Source organism: Homo sapiens, chromosome 19, assembly GCF_000001405.40.
Source record: "Homo sapiens chromosome 19, GRCh38.p14 Primary Assembly".
NCBI classification, from domain to species: Eukaryota; Metazoa; Chordata; class Mammalia; order Primates; family Hominidae; genus Homo; species Homo sapiens.
Genome location: NC_000019.10, coordinates 55,588,362 through 55,605,379, shown reverse-complemented (window position 1 = coordinate 55,605,379; position 17,018 = coordinate 55,588,362). Strand labels below are relative to the sequence as shown.

Below are 17,018 nucleotides of genomic sequence, written 5' to 3'. Positions count from 1 at the left end.
GGGCGTCCGGTTAAGCCACACCTCCGGCTCGGGTCTCACACTGAAGCCCCGCCCCCTGGCCCTGAACCACGCCCATCTCACAGCGTGATTATAAGCCCCCTACTGCCTCAAAGTCTGTCTTCGTCCCCTCGCCCTCATGCAGTTTCTCCTGTTCTTCCCCCTCTCCAAGCTCCCACTCTCTGGAACTTCACCCCTCCCTAGGCCCCGCCCCCTCCATCCAAGCCCCGCCCCTTCACCCCATAGCATTTAAGTTGCACCTCGTGACTTTTGAGTGCCTCCCACCTCTAAAGCATTCTTTTAAATCGGTGGTTGTCAAGGATAGTTGGGAGGCCAGCAGCATCCGGCTGCCTGCTCAGACCATGCGGAATAGAAGCCCTGGGGTTGGGGGTCTAGGGATCCGTGTTTTGAAATACTCTGATTCTGCTGCATGCTGGTCAAGAGCCATGGATTTACCACACTTGACACTGCCCGCTCATATAATCGCTATAATCCCGGCTCCCAACTCAGCCCCATCCCAAACAGCCAAACCCAGACCCATTCAGCCCCTCCTGCTAAGCTTCCACTCTCCCAGGAACTTCCCTTAGATTAAGTACTTCCTTCTCTCCCCATCGCCTCCATAGCAGTCGTGCGCCCCCATCAGCACCTTCTAAGTCCCACCTCCAATACCCTGTTCCCTCAGAGTTTCTCCTTTAAGCCCCGGCCCCCGGCCCTCGGCCCTGAACCACGCCCACCTCAGAGCTGAATTATTATAAGCTCCGCCCCTCACCTTAAAATCCGTTCTCTTGGCCTGGCGTGGTGGCTCACGCCTGTAATCCCAGCACTTTGGGAGGCCAAGGCAGGCGGATTGCTTGAGCACAGGAGTTCAAGACCAGCCTGGGCAATATGGCAAAACCCCGTCTCTACAAAAAAAAAAAATACAAAAATTAGGCTGGACGCGGTGGCTCACGCCTGTAATCCCAGCACTTTGGGAGGCCGAGGCGGGTGGATCACGAGGTCAGGAGGTCAAGACCAGCCTGGCCAAGATGGTGAAACCCCGTCTCTACTAAAATTACAAAAATTAGCCAGGCGTGGTGGCGGGCGCCTGTAATTCCAGCTACTCGGGAGGCTGAGGGAGAGAACTGCTTGAACCCGGGAGGCAGAGGTTGCAGTGAGCCAGATTGCCCCACTGCACTCCAGCCTGGACGACAGCAAGACTCCGTCTCAAAAAAAAAAAATTAGCTAAATATGCTGGCGCCCGTCTGTAGTCTCAGCTACTCCGGAGGCTGAAGCAGGAGGGTCGCTTGAGCCTGGCAGGTCGAGGCTGCAGTGAGCGGTGATAGGGCCACTGCACTCCAGCCTGGATGACAGAGCGAGACCCTGTCTCAAAAAAAAAATTATCCGTCCTCCTTGCCCCACTCTCACGCAGTTCCTCCTGTTCTTCCCCAGCTCCAAGCCCCTACTCTCTATTAGATCAACTCTATCCATCCTCTTTAAACCGCTCTCACTTTCTGCGGACCAACCCCTAAACCTCTTTAAGCCCCACCCAACTCTAACCCTCTTCTAAGCCCCCGCCCCAGGTCCCAGCCTAACTGCCCCGCAATCTCAGCCCCACCCCTCGCTCCTTAGCCCCGCCCCAATCCACACCCCTTATCTCTAAACCTTACCCAGACCGTCCTGCTCATACCTTTGTCTTAATTTTTCCTTCCAAACAGTAGGTCCTCAGGACAAGGAGGTGGGGCAAAGTGGCTGCAGAATTTCTGGGAATTGGCTAGGAGAGAGGCGGTCGGACCTACAGTCAGGTCTGCATGGAAGGTTCAATGTTTTTAGTTAGATTGGATGTGTACTGGGAATACAGCTGACCCTTGAACAACAGGGGTTTGAACTGCAGGTCCATTGAGAGGCGGACGTTTTTTCACCCAAACACCGGTGGAACATACAGTATACGAAGGGCGGATTTTCCTACATCCGCGGGTTCCGCAGGGCCCACTGCTGGACTTGTGTATGCCCAGATCTTGGTATCTGCGAGGTTCGTGGAACCAATTCCCCGCGGACTCCGAGGGACCCATGGACTTTGGGGTCTGATGGAGATGGGGAAGGGGCCAAGGTTCCCCCCAAAACCATTCTTTGGCGAGCACCACGCTCATGAGGCACAGGAAGTGGGGTCCTCTCCAATTCCCCGCACTCCCGACAGGACGGTGTAGCCGAGGAAGAACATTTGAAGGCAGGAGAGGATGGCATCCCGGCACGGAACACACACAGGCAGCCAGCAGGCAGAGATTTATTTCCACAGCCCCTGCCTCCAAGGGTCTGTTAGTCTGGGGGAGGGGGGCTGAAGGCAGCTGGACCCCAAAGTTTAGGTCTCCACCCTCCACCTGCTCCCACAACGGGAAGACCACCGGAAACAAGGGTGTCCCGGCCCCCTGGCTCAGGCCCAGCACCAGCCAAACTCCCTGCTCTAAACCTGGCCCAGGGAGCGATGGCCGGGGGTGTGGGTCAGGCCGGCTCCCCTTTCCCCTCTGTCTCCTCCTCCTCCTCGGCCCCTGCTGTGGCCGGGATGCCCTCCTCGTCCCACGGCGGTTCAGACCCTGGATCTGGTGCACACAGGGGTACCCCCATGGCCTCCGGGTGCTTGCGCTTCGCATGGCGCCGGAGCGTGTTGGCCTCTGTAAAGCGCAGCCGGCAGATGGGGCACTGGTACGGGCGCTCCCCCGAGTGCACGCGGTGGTGGTGCGCCAGCTCGCCCGCCTCGCGGAAGCGGCGGGGGCACAGCGGGCAGCGGAAGGGCCGCAGGCCGGCATGGATGTTGCAGTGCCGCCGCAGGTGGCTGGAGCGCTTGAAGGTCTTGCCGCAAACCTTGCACTGGTGCGGCTTCAGCTCTGAGTGCGAGATGCTGTGGCGCTCCAGGTCGGAGAGGTAGGGGAAGGCCCGCAGGCACACCGGGCAGAAGTGTGGGGCCTTCCTGGGGCCAGAGCCCTCAGGCCCAGCCGCTGAACCTTCAGAGACCGTATAGGGCACACCCTGATCATCGATCAGGAGGAGGTCGCTCCCGCCACTGCTGCCTACTGGGGCTGTCACCCCCTGCACCTGCACCAGTGGGGGCTCCTGCCCTGACTTGGGGGGGCGGCCCCGCTTGCGAGGGAGGGAGGCCTTGAGTGTCCGATTTGAGGAGGTGGCTCCCCCAGGACGACGGCCTCGGCGGCCCCGGGGAACAGGAGGAGATAAGGCCAGAGGTTTCTCTTCCTCCCCGGGCAAAGGCGAAGGCAACGGGTCTGGGCTGGGGGTGTCCATTGAGCAGTGGGGGGCTTGGGTCTGGGCACTGGAGCCAGCTAAGAGGAGAGAGGGGCAGAGTCAGTGCTCACAGGGTCTAGAGCACCCCTGTGTCCCCCAACACCTCGCCCATCCCTCTCTCCAAGTCTCTTGACAAAGGTGTGTTTGACATTCATCCAGATACACAATTTTAGCTATGCTGGTGGGTAAAACAGTGAGATGATCTTGTATCAGCTGATAAACAGGCACTTCCCTGAGCTCCACCAGACATCCCTATGCCTCCCTAACTCTCCTTCTGGATCTAGAAGTTCAAGATCAACATGAGCAACACCCCTCCCCACCTCCCCACAAAAAAAAACCTTCCAGAGAGGATAGAGTCCAACTGAGAGTGCAGACCAGTATTGTGATCCTTGAAACGGAGAGCCCATCAAACTCCAGAGCCATAGAGGCCTCACGAATGCTCTCATCCCTCCCTGCTGACTGGCAGAAGTGGGGAAGGGGTTCCAGAGTGGAAAAAAGGGACTGGTCCCAGGTGATATTTGACCCTGATTCCTGGATGAGGAAACATATCTGCGATGTTAAGAGCCTGGGCCCTGGAGTCAAGACATCATTCGTTCAAATCTTTACTCTCTGCGTGGCCTTGGGCAAGGTGTTCGCTTCTCTAAGCCTTAATCAAGACTTTTGCAAAATGGGACACATAGTTCTACGTACTTGCCCAGACATGCCATGAGCATAATACCCACAAAGTGTTCATACACAGAAGCTTTCAGGACACATTAGCCATTGTTATCAGGAGCAGCTAAGCCTCACATCAACCCTCTGAATAGGGCATATCTGTCCCATTTTGCAGATGGGGAAACTGAGGCACAGGAAAGCCAAGTCAGTTGCCTAAGTTCCTCTGCCAGTAAATGGCAGGGCCAAAACTGGAAACAGGTCTTGTGACCCGAATGTCCCAGAGAATGGAGAACAAATAAACCCAAGGAGGAAAGGGGACATTACGAGGGCTCAGTCCTGGGTTTGAATTCAGCTCTGCCTATAACTAGCAATTGACTTTGCCAGTTTCCTCCTCTGAAAAGTGAATAAACCAGGGTTGTCAGGAGAATCGAATAAGACAGTGGGCTTTAAAATGCCCCTCGAACACTGCCTGGTGCACAGTAAGCACTCAATAAACTTCACCAACGCCACCACCATCTTCCCGGCGCCCACTCAGATACTGGGAGCATGGGATTGGGGTGTAACGGAGGGGAAGGGGAGGCACAGGTGCAGCTGGAAGCAGGTGCTGCAGGTGCCCCCCTGCACCCCCCCCTCCCCTTTAACAGCCACATAGACTGCTGTCCAGAGAGGAGCAACCACCTTTCCATACGGTTCGCTCCCACGGGGTAGCCTAGTCTAGGAGTCTGGTCTTTGGAACGGTGGAAAGGGGGAGACTGGTCCCCCGACCCTCCCCGTCCCCTCGCCCCGGTACTGACGCGCCCATCGGCCCCCGAGCTGCGAAGCCCAAGCGCGGGGCGGGCCCTGCGGGGGCGACGGCCAATGAGCGGCGCCGGGTAAGCGGGCGGCGGGGGCTGCCAGGAAGGGGGTCTGCGCGCGCGCGCCCGGACGGCTTCGCGGGGCGCGAGCGCGGGAGCAGGAACAGGTGTTGGAGGCGCGCTCCGGGAGCGCGCGGCCCGGCCTCCCCTACCCCCACACCCCCCCTCCCGCCTGCGCCCCCCGCCTCTCGGGTACCTCATTTGCATGTCGCCGGGGCTCGCGAGTGTGCGCGCGCGCGGGGGCAACGGGGCCGGCGCGTGGGAAGGGGAGGGGGTGAGGGGGCCCTGCCCCTCGGCGGCGGCGAGGCGGGGGCGGCGGCGCGCGGTGCCGGCCCCGCCCCTCGGAGAAGCGCCGGGCCCCTCCCTTCCTGCCCTTCCCGCCCGCCTGCGCGCCCGCGGGAAACAAAGGGGACTCGCTGGGTCCTAACGACCGGTCGCGGCCACGCCCGGAAGCCGCGCCTGCGCACCGGCGGCCCTGGTGTGTCCCCAGTGGGAAATAACCCAGCACCACATCCCCAACCACCTCGAAACGCCTTTCCTCTCACAAAGCCCACAGTCGGGTGACCCAAAGACAGATACCGAATGATGAGGAGCGGGAAAATGGCTGCCCAGTGCCCGTAATTAACATGGCACCGGACAGGCTTCGAAGCCCATGGAGTGCTAAGTGGATAAGATGGTGCCGGTCTTTTCCAGCTCTGTATTGCAGTTGGCGCACTTCGCTTTCTTTTTTTTTCCCTAGTCCAACTGTACATCCTAATCGGAGGAGTCCGAGGCTGTGAAAAAGAAATAGTATCTGCTCTCATTTACGTTAGCATCGCCTAGTGTCGCCACGGAGAAGCCCCCTCGCTCTCAGCTCCTTGCCCTTAGTCTGTATGGCGCCGTGGGTGTCCCTAAGCCCCGCCCCTTCCCGCTGCCCTCACCCAAGATGGCGCGGGCCTGGCTTCTTCAACCTCCAGGGCTGGGAAAGGAAAGGGAAAGAGGGAGAAGGGCGGGGATGAGGAAGGGGAGCCAAGAGGGCGGGAGAAAGGGGGAGTACGGCGGGGGAAGGGAGCTGAGGCGGAAGTCGAGGGGCCCCCCGGGTGGAAGTGACGCTGCCCCCGCTGCCCAAAATGTCGGCGCCCAGAGGGAGGTGTAAGTAATTAAAGAGGAAAGCCGACGGACTTCCCCGGCCTCCCGGGGCCGCCCCGGGTCTCCAGGACCAACGCTCCGTACGAGCGAGGTGGACTCGCCTGGCCCCGGGGCCTGCCCGACCTGCCCCCCAACCGGGCGCCCAGGGCTGCACCTTTTAGGGGCAGGGGGAGGGGCACAAAAGGCCGGCTCTCGGGGCCTGGGGCCTGGAGCAGACTGGGCAAGTGGGGGGGCCCGCTCCTCAGGCTGCGGGGTGGAGGAGGAGGCGGGGCCTAGTGGCTGCTGGGGCGGAGCAAGGGCTGGGAGGAGCCTGAGTTGGGCGGAGCTTAGAGTGGAAGTGGGAGGGGCGTGGAGGAGGGAGAGTCTGGATAGAAAATGGGAGGGTCTTAGGCAAAGAGGTGGGGTTTGATAAAGGGGCGTGGCTCAGAAGGAATGGTGGGTAGGCCCTGGATTGAGGGGTGGAAGGAAACTCATTGAGGCTGGTTGGGTAAAGGGAGCCCAGGAAGCAGGAGGGAGGAGTTTAGAGTAGAAGGGATGGAGTTTGTCTGGGGTGTGGCTTAGAGAAGTAGGTAGGCCTAGTGAGGGGGGTGGAGTTTAAGGGTGTAATTTGGAGGGGTTTAATGCAACTATCAGGTCTTTATAATGAATGTGGAAAGGACTTGCAGGGGATGGGAATAGACTTCGTAGAGAAGGCCTGAGAAGGTGACGGGAGTCCAGTGGAGAGTCTTAGAAAGGATGTGGCTTCTTTAAAGGAAAAATTGGGTGGAGTTTTGGAAGTGGGTCTTAGTGGACCCGAGAGGGGCTTAGATAAGTCAAATAACTTAGCAATCATGGTAGGACTTAAGGAGGAATCCAGGAGGAACTTACGGGATAATAGTCATCCAAACAGCTTACTTGTTGCGTCTTTGCTGTGCACCAGCTTAAGTGGGCACGTAGCATTTATTGCCACAATTTTACTTAATTCTCGCCACCACTCCATGAGGTAGGTACTACTATTCCCATTTTACAGATGAAGAATTTTTATTATCTGATGTTACAGGAGTAATTCTGGTCTCCCTGCAAGGATGACTCCAGTGTGCTTAGCCCCAAATCTTTGCCCTCCCATTCGCTAAGTGGTCATCCTGGAAGAGGAGTGGGAGGAGCTTAGAGGGGAGTGGGAGGGCCTTTTGGAAGGAAAAGGGCTTGGCAAAGAATACAAGATCCTTAGGGAACATTGTGGGGGACTTTGAAGGGAGTAGGTGGGACTTAAGGAAGAGTGGGAGAGGCTTAAATTACAGTGGGAGGGGCACAGAGAGCAGTGGCCGCGCATTGGCGAAGAGCGAGGAGAGGCTTAAAAACACTCCGTGGAGTGAGGAGACTATGAAGTGATTAGGAAGATTTTGCCACAGGCGTGGAGCCGCGAGAGAAGGGTTTCTAAGAGAGTAGGAGGATTTTAAAGAACAATGAGAGTGGCTTAGAGAGGTGGGCAGTGGGAGGGTCTCCCAGGGGACAGGTGGTGGGTCTGGGAACCTGGGAGGAGAGAGCTGATGGGGAGCCGACCCCCTCACCTGCTCCTCTGTCTCCCCACTACTCCAGAGAGAGCCCCCACATACCACTGTATTCCCCGCCACCATGGATGACGTCCCCGCCCCAACCCCTGCACCAGCACCGCCCGCCGCTGCCGCCCCCAGGGTCCCGTTTCACTGCAGTGAATGTGGCAAGAGCTTCCGCTACCGCTCAGACCTGCGGCGCCACTTTGCCCGGCACACAGCGCTCAAGCCCCACGCATGTCCGCGCTGCGGCAAGGGTTTCAAGCACAGCTTCAACCTAGCCAACCACCTGCGCTCGCACACCGGGGAGCGGCCCTACCGCTGCTCTGCCTGCCCCAAGGGGTTCCGCGACTCCACCGGCCTGCTGCACCACCAGGTGAGTCCCACAGGCCGGCCCTAGGCTGGCCTCCCTGGTCAGGACTACGGTGGGATCCCGCGCCCCACTGTACTCTGGGCAAAAGGAAGCTGGCCCAAGGCCTAGGCGCCCGCCTCCTCCCATTAGAAAATGTCCCTCCCTCCCTACCAAAGCACCCTGACCCTTGAAAGCATGCGCTATTTCTCATTCAGTCACCAGCAACCCACGAACTGGAACATTCATAGTAAATTTCCCCATCTATAGGCTCCTGCCCGCCCCATCTCCCTGCCAATACCCCGCGTGCACGCACCAGCATCTGCAATCTAGTGTTTATCCTTTCCTTCCTTACCGTTTTAAGACTTAGGTTTATCAGGTGTATACTTAATTCCTTTATTCATTGATTATCAGTTATATACTTAATTCCTTTATTCATTGACTATCAGCTTTCCCTGCACCAAACGGCTGTGTTGCCAAGGCAAAAGCAAATTCCATGCCTTCAGAAAACTTACTTTCTTTTGGAGGTGGTCAGTAGCCAAGTAGACAAGAAGCAAGAAAGCAAGTATGCTGGCAAGAATGTTCTGGAAAAAGATAGGAGGGAAATTTTAAGAAACAAAAAAATACTGGCCAGGCGCAGTGGCTCACACCTGTAATCCCAGCACTTTGGGAGGCCGAGGTGGGCAGATCATGAGGTCAAGAGATCGAGACCATCCTGGACAACATGGTGAAACTCTGTCTCTACTAAAAATACAAAAATTAGCCAGGCGTGTTGGCATGCACCTGTAATCCCAGCTACTTGGGAGGCTGAGGCAGGAGAATCGCCTGGACCCGGGAGGCAGAGGTTGCAGTGAGGTGAGATTGCACCATTGCACTCTAACCTGGGCGACAGAGCGAGACTCAGTCTCCAAACAAACAAACAAACAAAAAATACAAATCAATGTGTGAGAGTAAAGAGAGGAGAGCTATGGGCTACTTCAGACAGGTGGGGAAGGTTAGGGCAGGTGATACCTGAGCCAACCTGCAGTGTGAGGAATCCTCCCTGGGAAGAGCATTCCAGGCAGCAGGAACAGCAAGTGCAAAGGCCCTGAGGAAGGAAGGAGTGTGCTGTGTTCCAGGAAGCGATGGGAGACTGTGGGGTTGGGGTGGAAGGAGGTAAGGTGAAAGATGGGACGGGCTAGGTCACACTCTGTCTATGTGCCAGACACTTGCACAACCAGGGTGAAGAAAACCAGGCATCTACCGATGGTCTTTCACACTTGGCTGTCCTCTCTGTCCCCATGCATCTGCCTTGGTTCAGGACTTCACATCCTGAATGTTGGCCCCGGCTTTCTCAGTGGTCTCCCTCCTTCCTGTCTCTCTCCCTCACATCCAGTCTCTGCATCTATCACAGAGTGACCAGGTGACCCCTGCTTAAATCCCTTGATCCTTAGGATGAAAGGGGAGCTCCTTAGCTTGATGCAACAATTGACAGTCCCCTGAGGGGCCTCACCCCCACCCACCAGTAGGTTGTGATTCAACTGAACCATTTCAGGAGCACCTACTGTATTTAGATACAGTGCTAGGCTCTCTGGGGGAAAAAAAATAGCTAAGGGAACAAAACAGATACAGTCCACCCTTTGTATGGCCTCGAGTCAAATGTGGGAGATGTGAACTGAACAACTAGGTTAATCAATGTTAGGCTGCAGCCGAGACATCTGAGGATGGAGGATAACCATATTCTGAGGCTAATGCAAGAGAGAGCTGAAGCAGTCTGGATCGGGGATGGGGTCAGGGATGGTTTTCCCGAGAAAAAGGTGAGGAATGATCTGCCTCTGGGGTCCGAGGCTTTCCGGATCCAGGGAACAAAATGTGTACTTTCAAGGAAGCAAAGCAGGCTTTGGAGGAACTGGAGGAAGGCCAATGTGACTGGAGCATGGAGAAGCAGAAAGTGTGGCTCAGGAGAAGTCTGGAGAGTGCCGGACCCTGGAAATACAGCTGTGAGCAAAACCAATGTGGTCACTATTTTTATCGTCCTTAGCTGGTGGGGAGACAGACAACACTCAAGTTATATGTAGACACTAAGTGTGCTATGAGCCATAGGCTTTAAAGAAGGAGGGTGGAAGAGGATCACTGATGAGCCAGGGGGCCAGATTCCGGGAAGGGTTTCCAAGGAGCTGACAGATAAATAGACCTACGGGCATTCCAGGCAGTGAGAACAGCATGTACAAGGGCCCTGGGACCAGCATAATCTTGTTGTGTTAAAAGAGTAGAGAGAGAATAAATTTAGTGACAAAGAGGATAGAGATCCCTACACCCACACTGTACAGCAGGTGCATCGAGTCTGGAGCCAGAAAGGCAAATGAACATCACTCCCTGTTCCTTCTTCAGATCTGTGCCCCTGGCAGACATTACTAATCAAGCACTGCACTCTTTCTCATCCAGCCTCACCCTTCTCCTCACAGGCCTCCAGGAAGACATTACCATACTCACAAATCTCTCTCTGTTATTCCAAAATCTTAAATCAACAAGGACAAATATCAATACAAAAAACCTCTCTAAGGCACGGTTTTACACAGTCTACAAGCCTGGCAATGCCTCAGAAAAAAATACAGATTCCTGGACTCCCTCCTGGGAGATTCGATTCCCTAGACTTGGAAGTGATTCCCTGGATCTGTATGTGTGAAAAGCGTTCAGTGGGAGAAACTCTGAGCAGTAGCCGGATTCGGTTCAAAATCACTTCTCTGCCCTAACACACCTAAGGCCTGTATTCAGCTCATGATAACTGGCTCGGGATAGCAGGGCTTGACAAGGGAGAAGACACACCCTGCTAGGGCTGGCTGCTGTGTCACTTTAGAGCTGCACTGTCCAGTATAGCCATTAGCCACCGATAGTGATTTCTTTTTTTTTTTTTTTTTTTTTTGAGACAGAGTCTCGCTCTGTCGCCCAGACTGGAGTGCAGTGGCGCGATCTCGGCTCACTGCAAGCTCCGCCTCCCGGGTTCATGCCATTCTCCCGCCTCAGCCTCCTGAGTAGCTGGGACTACAGGCGCCCGCCACCACGCCCGGCTAATTTTTTGAATTTTTAGTAGAGACGGGGTTTCACCGTGTTAGCCAGGATGGTCTCGATCTCCTGACCTCATGATCCGCCCGCCTCGGCCTCCCAAAGTGCTAGGATTACAGGCGTGAGCCACCGCACCCGGGCTTTTTTTTTTTTTTTTTGAGACAGAGTCTCGCTCTGTCACCCAGGCTAGAGTGCAGTGGCACGTCTTTGGCTCACTGCATCCTCCACCTCCCGGGTTCAAGTGATTCTTCTACCTCAGCCTCCTGAGTGGCTGGGACTACAGGTCCCTGGGACTACCCGCCACCAGGCCCGGGTAATTTTTGTATTTTTAGTAAAGGCAGGGTTTCACCATGTTGATCAGGTTGGTCTCGAACTCTTGACCTCAAATGATCCACCCACTTCAGCCTCCCAAAGTGCTGGGATTACACACGTGAGCCACCGCACCCAGTCGTGTTTTTTTGTTTTTTTTGAGACACAGTCTCACCCTGTCATGCAGGCTGTAATGTGGTGGCATGGTCACGGCTTACTGCAGCCTCAAACTTCTTGGCTCAGCCTCCCAGGTAGCTGGGACCACAGGAGTGTGCCGTGTCCAGCTAGTTTTTAAAATTATTTGTAGAGACAAGGTTTCCCTGTGTTGCCTGGGCTGGTCTCAAACACCTAGGCTTATGCAATCCCAGAGTGCTGGGATTACAGGCGTGAGCCACCATGGCCAGCCAGGACATGGCCTTTTTAAGGACCGAAAGAATCTACCGTGACCCCAAACAGAGAGTGATAGGACGAGCGTTTCCCTAGATCATGGCCCTGTAGGTGTGACAGAGAGCTTGTGCCACAACCCTCTGGGAGTCCAGGAATCCGTTGTCCGGGCTAGGTTCTCAGCCCTGACGTTGTGCCCTTCCTCCCGCACCCCTAGGTCGTCCACACTGGTGAGAAACCCTACTGCTGCCTGGTCTGCGAGCTCCGCTTCTCCTCACGCTCCAGCCTGGGCCGCCACCTCAAGCGCCAGCACCGTGGGGTTCTCCCCTCTCCCCTGCAGCCCGGCCCTGGCCTGCCCGCCTTGAGTGCGCCCTGCTCCGTCTGCTGCAATGTGGGGCCCTGCTCGGTGTGCGGGGGCTCAGGGGCCGGCGGCGGAGAGGGCCCCGAGGGGGCAGGCGCGGGTCTGGGCAGCTGGGGGCTGGCAGAGGCGGCAGCTGCGGCCGCGGCCTCCTTGCCCCCATTTGCGTGCGGCGCCTGCGCGCGGCGCTTCGACCACGGCCGCGAGCTGGCGGCCCACTGGGCGGCGCACACCGACGTGAAGCCCTTCAAGTGCCCGCGCTGCGAGCGCGACTTCAACGCGCCCGCGCTGCTGGAGCGGCACAAGCTGACGCACGACCTGCAGGGCCCGGGCGCGCCCCCAGCGCAGGCCTGGGCCGCGGGGCCAGGCGCAGGGCCCGAGACGGCGGGCGAAGGCACCGCTGCGGAGGCGGGCGACGCTCCTCTGGCTTCGGACCGCAGGCTGCTCCTGGGCCCCGCGGGGGGCGGCGTGCCCAAGCTCGGGGGGCTGCTCCCCGAGGGCGGTGGGGAGGCGCCTGCACCTGCGGCGGCCGCCGAGCCCTCGGAAGACACCCTGTACCAGTGCGACTGCGGGACCTTCTTTGCGTCGGCCGCGGCCCTGGCCAGTCACCTGGAGGCCCACTCGGGCCCGGCCACCTACGGCTGCGGCCACTGCGGGGCTCTGTACGCGGCGCTGGCCGCCTTGGAGGAGCACCGGCGGGTCAGCCACGGTGAGGGCGGCGGGGAGGAGGCGGCGACCGCCGCCCGGGAAAGGGAACCGGCGTCCGGGGAACCCCCGTCTGGCTCCGGCCGCGGCAAGAAGATCTTCGGCTGCTCCGAGTGCGAGAAGCTGTTCCGCTCACCGCGAGACCTGGAGCGGCACGTGCTGGTGCACACTGGCGAGAAGCCGTTCCCGTGCCTGGAGTGCGGCAAGTTCTTCCGCCACGAGTGCTACCTCAAGCGCCACCGGCTGCTGCACGGCACCGAGCGGCCCTTCCCTTGCCACATCTGCGGCAAGGGCTTCATCACGCTCAGCAACCTCTCCAGGCACCTGAAGCTGCACCGGGGCATGGACTGACTGCCAGGCTGCGTGCGCCCTGCCCTCCACCCAGCCTCCTGGACTCGGCCTGGACCAGGGGACCTCGGGACTGCGCGTGAGGCCCCGGCCCTCCAAATCCAAATCCAGACGCAGGCCCTGAAATGAGGGGACCCTGACTGGAGAGGTGGGGGCCACCAAAAACCCACAAAGGCCCCGGAGCTGGGGGACCACAAACAAACAGGGTCCTTAGCTGGGGCAGGGGAGCCCAAATCTAGGGAGAGACTCCTGAGCCTGAGGTCCCTGGAATGAGTGTGGGTAGCCGTAAGTCCCCAAGACATGGGGACTTTGCAGTGAGCAATGGGTCTCCACAAGTACCTCTCATCTTGAGAGCCCTAATACTAAAAGATGGGCACCCACCCCCACCAAGGGAAGACTGCCCCATTCCCTGAGAGCCATCATTCCTAACGACCTTGATCTGGAGAATGTGGAGGGAGCATGTCCCTGAATTTTCCTAGATCCCTCCAAATGCCACCCACCAGAGTCACTGGTGACCCCAGAAAATGGATATAGCCGAAATCTGCCTTTCCCCTTTTTCATTCCCTGTGCTGAAAGAGGGACCAGGGTAGATGCCCCCTGCCCTCGAATCCCCCCTCCCCGACTGTGGAATGGATCGACCCTAACGATCTTCCCCGCCCCAAACACTAGAATAGACTGGCCTGAAATCCCCTTGCCCAGTAGAATGGACTGATCTATGTGCACACACCCCCATCACATGGAATGGGCTGGTCTAGGCTGTGGCCTGCCACCTTCCTTAGAGTGAATAGGGCGGACACTCCTCTCTTTTCCTGTAGCGTGTGGACCGGTCCACGCAATTCTTTATCCTGTGAACTCATCTGAGTGGGAGGTGGTGGACACTGGGGTTTCCTTCCCTCTCTCCGTAGCATCCGTTGGTCTTTCTCTCCATCTCTGTTGGTTTGTCTGTCTCTGTCTTCCTCCCAATCCCTAGGGGAAGGGGGCATTTGGCTAGGGGGTGCCCCTGTGAGCCTCGACCTTGCCCCCTCGTCCCTCTCCCCAGTGTTTCCAGGACCCCCAATAAACCTTGTCCTGTCAGTCGCTGATGCCTCATTTTCTGATCCTTGGCTCCAGGCGGGGGGGATGGGGAATCTCTTAGGACAGACTCCCTAAATAGAGACGGGTCCTCGTTTTCTCCTGAGAAGTTTCAAAGCTTTGAATAGTACATGCCCTTTTAAATTAGAGTCGGTTTAGGCTGGGCTTGGTGGCTCACGCTTGTAATCCCAGCACTTGGGGAGGCCGAGGCAGATAACCTGAGGTCAGGAGTTCAAGACCGTGCCTGGCCAACATGGGGAAACCCTGTTTCTACTAAAAATACAAAAATTAGCCGGGTGTGATGGCACATGCCTGTAATCCCAGCTACTCGGGAGGCTGAGGCAGGAGGATCTCTTGAACCTGGGAGGTGGAGGTTGCAGTGAGCCGATATTGCACCACTGCACTCCAGCCTGAGCAACAGAGCGAGACTCTGTTTCATAAATAAATACAATTAGAGTCAGTATCAATCAAAATGAGTTCCGTCCCTTAAATACATGATCCACCTCCAACAGACGGACACGCCCCCTAGAAACTAGACACGCCCTTTAGAAGTCACCAATCTTATAGGACACACCCCTTGGAAACCAAACTGCCTCATTAGAGGCGTGTCTGAGCAGAGGCCCCGCCTCTTAGATGCTGCCTTGGACCCTATACCAGACCCCCAGAATAGGACCCGCTCATCAGAGAATTGGGGGTGGGGGTGCCTTCAGACTGTCTCCTGCACACTGCATTGTGTTCCCGTACTGAAGGCTTATTCTGAGCCAGGCGTTGGAACTCCCTGTGGGGATCATCCCGGCCCTCCTGGGGTTTATGTTCTGTCGTGTAGGCGACGGGTATGGAGAAAAGAGGAATCAAGTAAATGTAGAAAATAATTTCAGATCGTCCTGAGCATTCTGAAGGCAATAGGGAAGGGTGGTAAGAAAATGAATGGCCACCTTACTCACTTTTTATGCCACCTTAGATGGGGTGGTCCATGTGGGCTTCTCGGCGGAGGTGGCGTTTGATCTGAGCCCTGAAGGGTAAGGGTGAGCAAGGACCTGCCAGGAGGATGCCCAAATGGACACAGGAGGAAAGTGAGCTCAGGGAGGGAAGGATGAGATGAGGTTAACAGGTGGGTAGACGTCACATCACAGTAAGCCAGGCAAGCCAAAACAGGTGTTTGACTGTGTTCTCTGGGTGATGGGAAGCAAAGTGTTAATCGAGGAGGGAAGGGACCACCCTTGCATCTTACCAAGATCCCTGTGGCTGCTGAGTGTAAACGAAGCTGCAGGACGCAGAGTCAGGAGAGTGCAGCGCTCCTGCAGTCCAGGAGAAACTTGTGGGAGCCTAAACCAGAGTGACCAACAGAAATCACGCCTGTAACCCCAGCACTTTGGGAGGTCGAGGCGGGAGAATCACTTGAGCTCAGGAGTTTGAGACCAGCCTAGGCAACATAGTGGGACCCTGTCTGTACTAAACATAATAAAATAAAACAAAACAAAGAAATGGGTGGGTTGGAGATGAACTCTGGAGTACGAATGCAGAGGACTGGTTGTGTGCATGTGTGTATTGGTTGGGGGTGAGTGTAATGGGAAGGGAGAAATCAGGAATAAATGGTTGAGTGGTGGCATTTCTTACTAAGACCAGAAAACTGAGGGAGGACACATTTAAGTAGGAGTTTAGGAGAATCAAAGTTTCCTCCCCTTTAGTTCCTTAAGATTTTTTTGTTTGTTTTTGAGATAGGGGCTCACTCTGTTGCCCAGACTGGAGTGCAATAGTGTGATCTCGGCTCACAGCAAACTCCACCTCCTGGGTTCAAGTGATTCTCATGCCTTAGCCTCCCAAGTAGCTGGGATTACAGATGTGCACCACTACACCTAGCTAATTTTTGTATTTTTAGTAGAGACGGGCTTTCACCATGTTGGTCAGATTGGTCTCGAACTCCTGACCTCAGGTGATCGATCTGCCCGCCTCGGCCTCCCAAAGTGCTGGGATTACAGGTGTGAGCCACTGCACCCTGCTGAGTTTCTTAAATTAAATGCCCCACAGGTTGCCATTCTCAAATATTGAACATACATATATCCTGTGATGCAGGAATTCTACTGCTAGGCGTAAATGCTAACTCAAGTCCCCCTGCACCCAGAGACATACAAAAACATTCATAGCAGCAATACTTTCAACCCCAAACTCAGGACAACCAAAACGCCCATCAGCAATACAGTGGATAATTAGCGATGGCATATTATGCAGTGGAATACTATACGGCAACAAGAATGAATGAGCTGCAGATAAACACAGTATCATGAATGAAAGTTACAAAGATACAGGACCCAAAAAGCCAGAAACAGAGCATGATTTCATTTACATAACATTGAGGCCAGGTGCAGTGGCTCACGCCTATAGTCCCAGCACTTTGGAAGGCCAAGGCAGGAGGATTGCTTGAGTCCAGGAGTTCGAGATCAGCCTGGGCAACATGGCAAGACCCCGTCTCGAGTAAAAATACAAAAAATAGCCAGGTGTGGTGGCGTGTGCCTGTAGGCCCAGCTACTCGGGGGGCTGAGACAGGAGGATCGCTGGAGCCTGGGGTAGGGGGACGGAGGTTGCAGTGAGCTAAGATCATTCCACTGCATTCCAGCCTGGCCAACAGAGGGAGACCCTGTCTCCAAAAAAAAAAAAAAAAAAAAAGCAAACCCATTATAATGCACATAAAACTAAACTGTAATATTGTTAAGGATACATTGTCAGTAGTAAACCATATAAAAAAGCAAGGACAACAATGTCCTATAAAACTCAGAATAGTGGACTGGACAAGTTAAGCGGGAGGGGATATCCTGGAAGTTTCCACGGTTGCTGATAGCCGACAAAGTTCTAGTTCTTAATCGGACGATCATTTTATAATTATTTATTCAATTGTGTGTTTGTATTGTGCATTTTTTCTCTGTGTGTCTTATATTTCACAAAGAAGATATTTTAGGCTGGGCGAGTTGACTCATGTCTGTAATCCCAGCAATTTCAGAGGCTGAGGCAGGAGGATGGCTTGA

General features: G+C 55.9%; 2 protein-coding genes across 6 annotated transcripts, besides 8 other annotated features; one reads left to right on the top strand and one right to left on the bottom strand.

Moving 5' to 3' along the window:
- Positions 8-559: an enhancer, noted in NCBI's record as "H3K27ac-H3K4me1 hESC enhancer chr19:56116187-56116738 (GRCh37/hg19 assembly coordinates)". NCBI's record gives its function as "activates a minimal SCP1, AML or CMV promoter by ChIP-STARR-seq in naive and primed H9 embryonic stem cells {active_cell/tissue: H9 hESC(naive and primed)}" and the evidence as "EXISTENCE:reporter gene assay evidence [ECO:0000049][PMID:30033119]".
- Positions 560-1,111: an enhancer, noted in NCBI's record as "H3K27ac-H3K4me1 hESC enhancer chr19:56115635-56116186 (GRCh37/hg19 assembly coordinates)". NCBI's record gives its function as "activates a minimal SCP1, AML or CMV promoter by ChIP-STARR-seq in naive and primed H9 embryonic stem cells {active_cell/tissue: H9 hESC(naive and primed)}" and the evidence as "EXISTENCE:reporter gene assay evidence [ECO:0000049][PMID:30033119]".
- Positions 2,215-2,765: an enhancer, noted in NCBI's record as "H3K27ac-H3K4me1 hESC enhancer chr19:56113981-56114531 (GRCh37/hg19 assembly coordinates)". NCBI's record gives its function as "activates a minimal SCP1, AML or CMV promoter by ChIP-STARR-seq in naive and primed H9 embryonic stem cells {active_cell/tissue: H9 hESC(naive and primed)}" and the evidence as "EXISTENCE:reporter gene assay evidence [ECO:0000049][PMID:30033119]".
- ZNF524 (zinc finger protein 524) lies at positions 2,242-5,806 on the bottom strand. Of its 2 annotated transcripts, none has more exons than XM_011526487.3 (2): positions 5,299-5,806; positions 2,242-3,305 (listed from the first exon to the last, which is right to left on the bottom strand). In XM_011526487.3, exons 1-2 carry the CDS (start codon positions 5,576-5,578, stop codon positions 2,473-2,475), a joined length of 1,113 nt encoding a protein of 370 aa, XP_011524789.1. In that variant the 5' UTR covers positions 5,579-5,806; the 3' UTR covers positions 2,242-2,472. The 2 variants fall into 2 exon arrangements, with proteins under 2 accessions (XP_011524789.1, NP_694951.1); NM_153219.4 differs by lacking the exon at positions 5,299-5,806 and adding an exon at positions 4,972-5,092.
- Positions 4,587-5,136: a silencer, noted in NCBI's record as "silent region_11047". NCBI's record gives its function as "represses an Ori minimal core promoter by ATAC-STARR-seq in GM12878 lymphoblastoid cells {active_cell/tissue: GM12878}" and the evidence as "EXISTENCE:reporter gene assay evidence [ECO:0000049][PMID:35858748]".
- Positions 4,587-5,617: a biological region, named in NCBI's record as "H3K27ac hESC enhancer GRCh37_chr19:56111129-56112002".
- Positions 4,744-5,617: an enhancer, noted in NCBI's record as "H3K27ac hESC enhancer chr19:56111129-56112002 (GRCh37/hg19 assembly coordinates)". NCBI's record gives its function as "activates a minimal SCP1, AML or CMV promoter by ChIP-STARR-seq in naive and primed H9 embryonic stem cells {active_cell/tissue: H9 hESC(naive and primed)}" and the evidence as "EXISTENCE:reporter gene assay evidence [ECO:0000049][PMID:30033119]".
- Positions 5,618-6,492: an enhancer, noted in NCBI's record as "H3K27ac hESC enhancer chr19:56110254-56111128 (GRCh37/hg19 assembly coordinates)". NCBI's record gives its function as "activates a minimal SCP1, AML or CMV promoter by ChIP-STARR-seq in naive and primed H9 embryonic stem cells {active_cell/tissue: H9 hESC(naive and primed)}" and the evidence as "EXISTENCE:reporter gene assay evidence [ECO:0000049][PMID:30033119]".
- Positions 5,847-6,266: a silencer, noted in NCBI's record as "silent region_11046". NCBI's record gives its function as "represses an Ori minimal core promoter by ATAC-STARR-seq in GM12878 lymphoblastoid cells {active_cell/tissue: GM12878}" and the evidence as "EXISTENCE:reporter gene assay evidence [ECO:0000049][PMID:35858748]".
- On the top strand, positions 5,863-14,004 carry FIZ1 (FLT3 interacting zinc finger 1). 4 transcript variants are annotated; one of them, NM_032836.3, is made up of 3 exons: positions 5,863-5,906; positions 7,479-7,808; positions 11,734-14,004. In NM_032836.3, the coding sequence occupies exons 2-3, from the start codon at positions 7,515-7,517 to the stop codon at positions 12,928-12,930; spliced, it is 1,491 nt and encodes a 496-aa protein (NP_116225.2). In that variant the 5' UTR covers positions 5,863-5,906; positions 7,479-7,514; the 3' UTR covers positions 12,931-14,004. The 4 variants fall into 4 exon arrangements, with proteins under 4 accessions (NP_116225.2, XP_005259409.1, XP_047295520.1 ...); XM_005259352.5 differs by having other exon boundaries at positions 5,863-6,885; XM_047439564.1 differs by having other exon boundaries at positions 5,863-7,808.

Excerpts from the sequence above, each read along its gene's own strand:
- ZNF524 (XM_011526487.3), bottom strand. The coding sequence starts at position 5,578 with ATGAGAGCAGATACTATTTCTTTTTCACAGCCTCGGACTCCTCCGATT. Across the intron at positions 3,306-5,298 it reads GAGAGGAAAGGCGTTTCGAG|CTGGCTCCAGTGCCCAGACC; the intron begins GTGGTTGGGGAT and ends CTCTCCTCTTAG.
- FIZ1 (NM_032836.3), top strand. The coding sequence starts at position 7,515 with ATGGATGACGTCCCCGCCCCAACCCCTGCACCAGCACCGCCCGCCGCT. Across the intron at positions 7,809-11,733 it reads CCGGCCTGCTGCACCACCAG|GTCGTCCACACTGGTGAGAA; the intron begins GTGAGTCCCACA and ends CCGCACCCCTAG.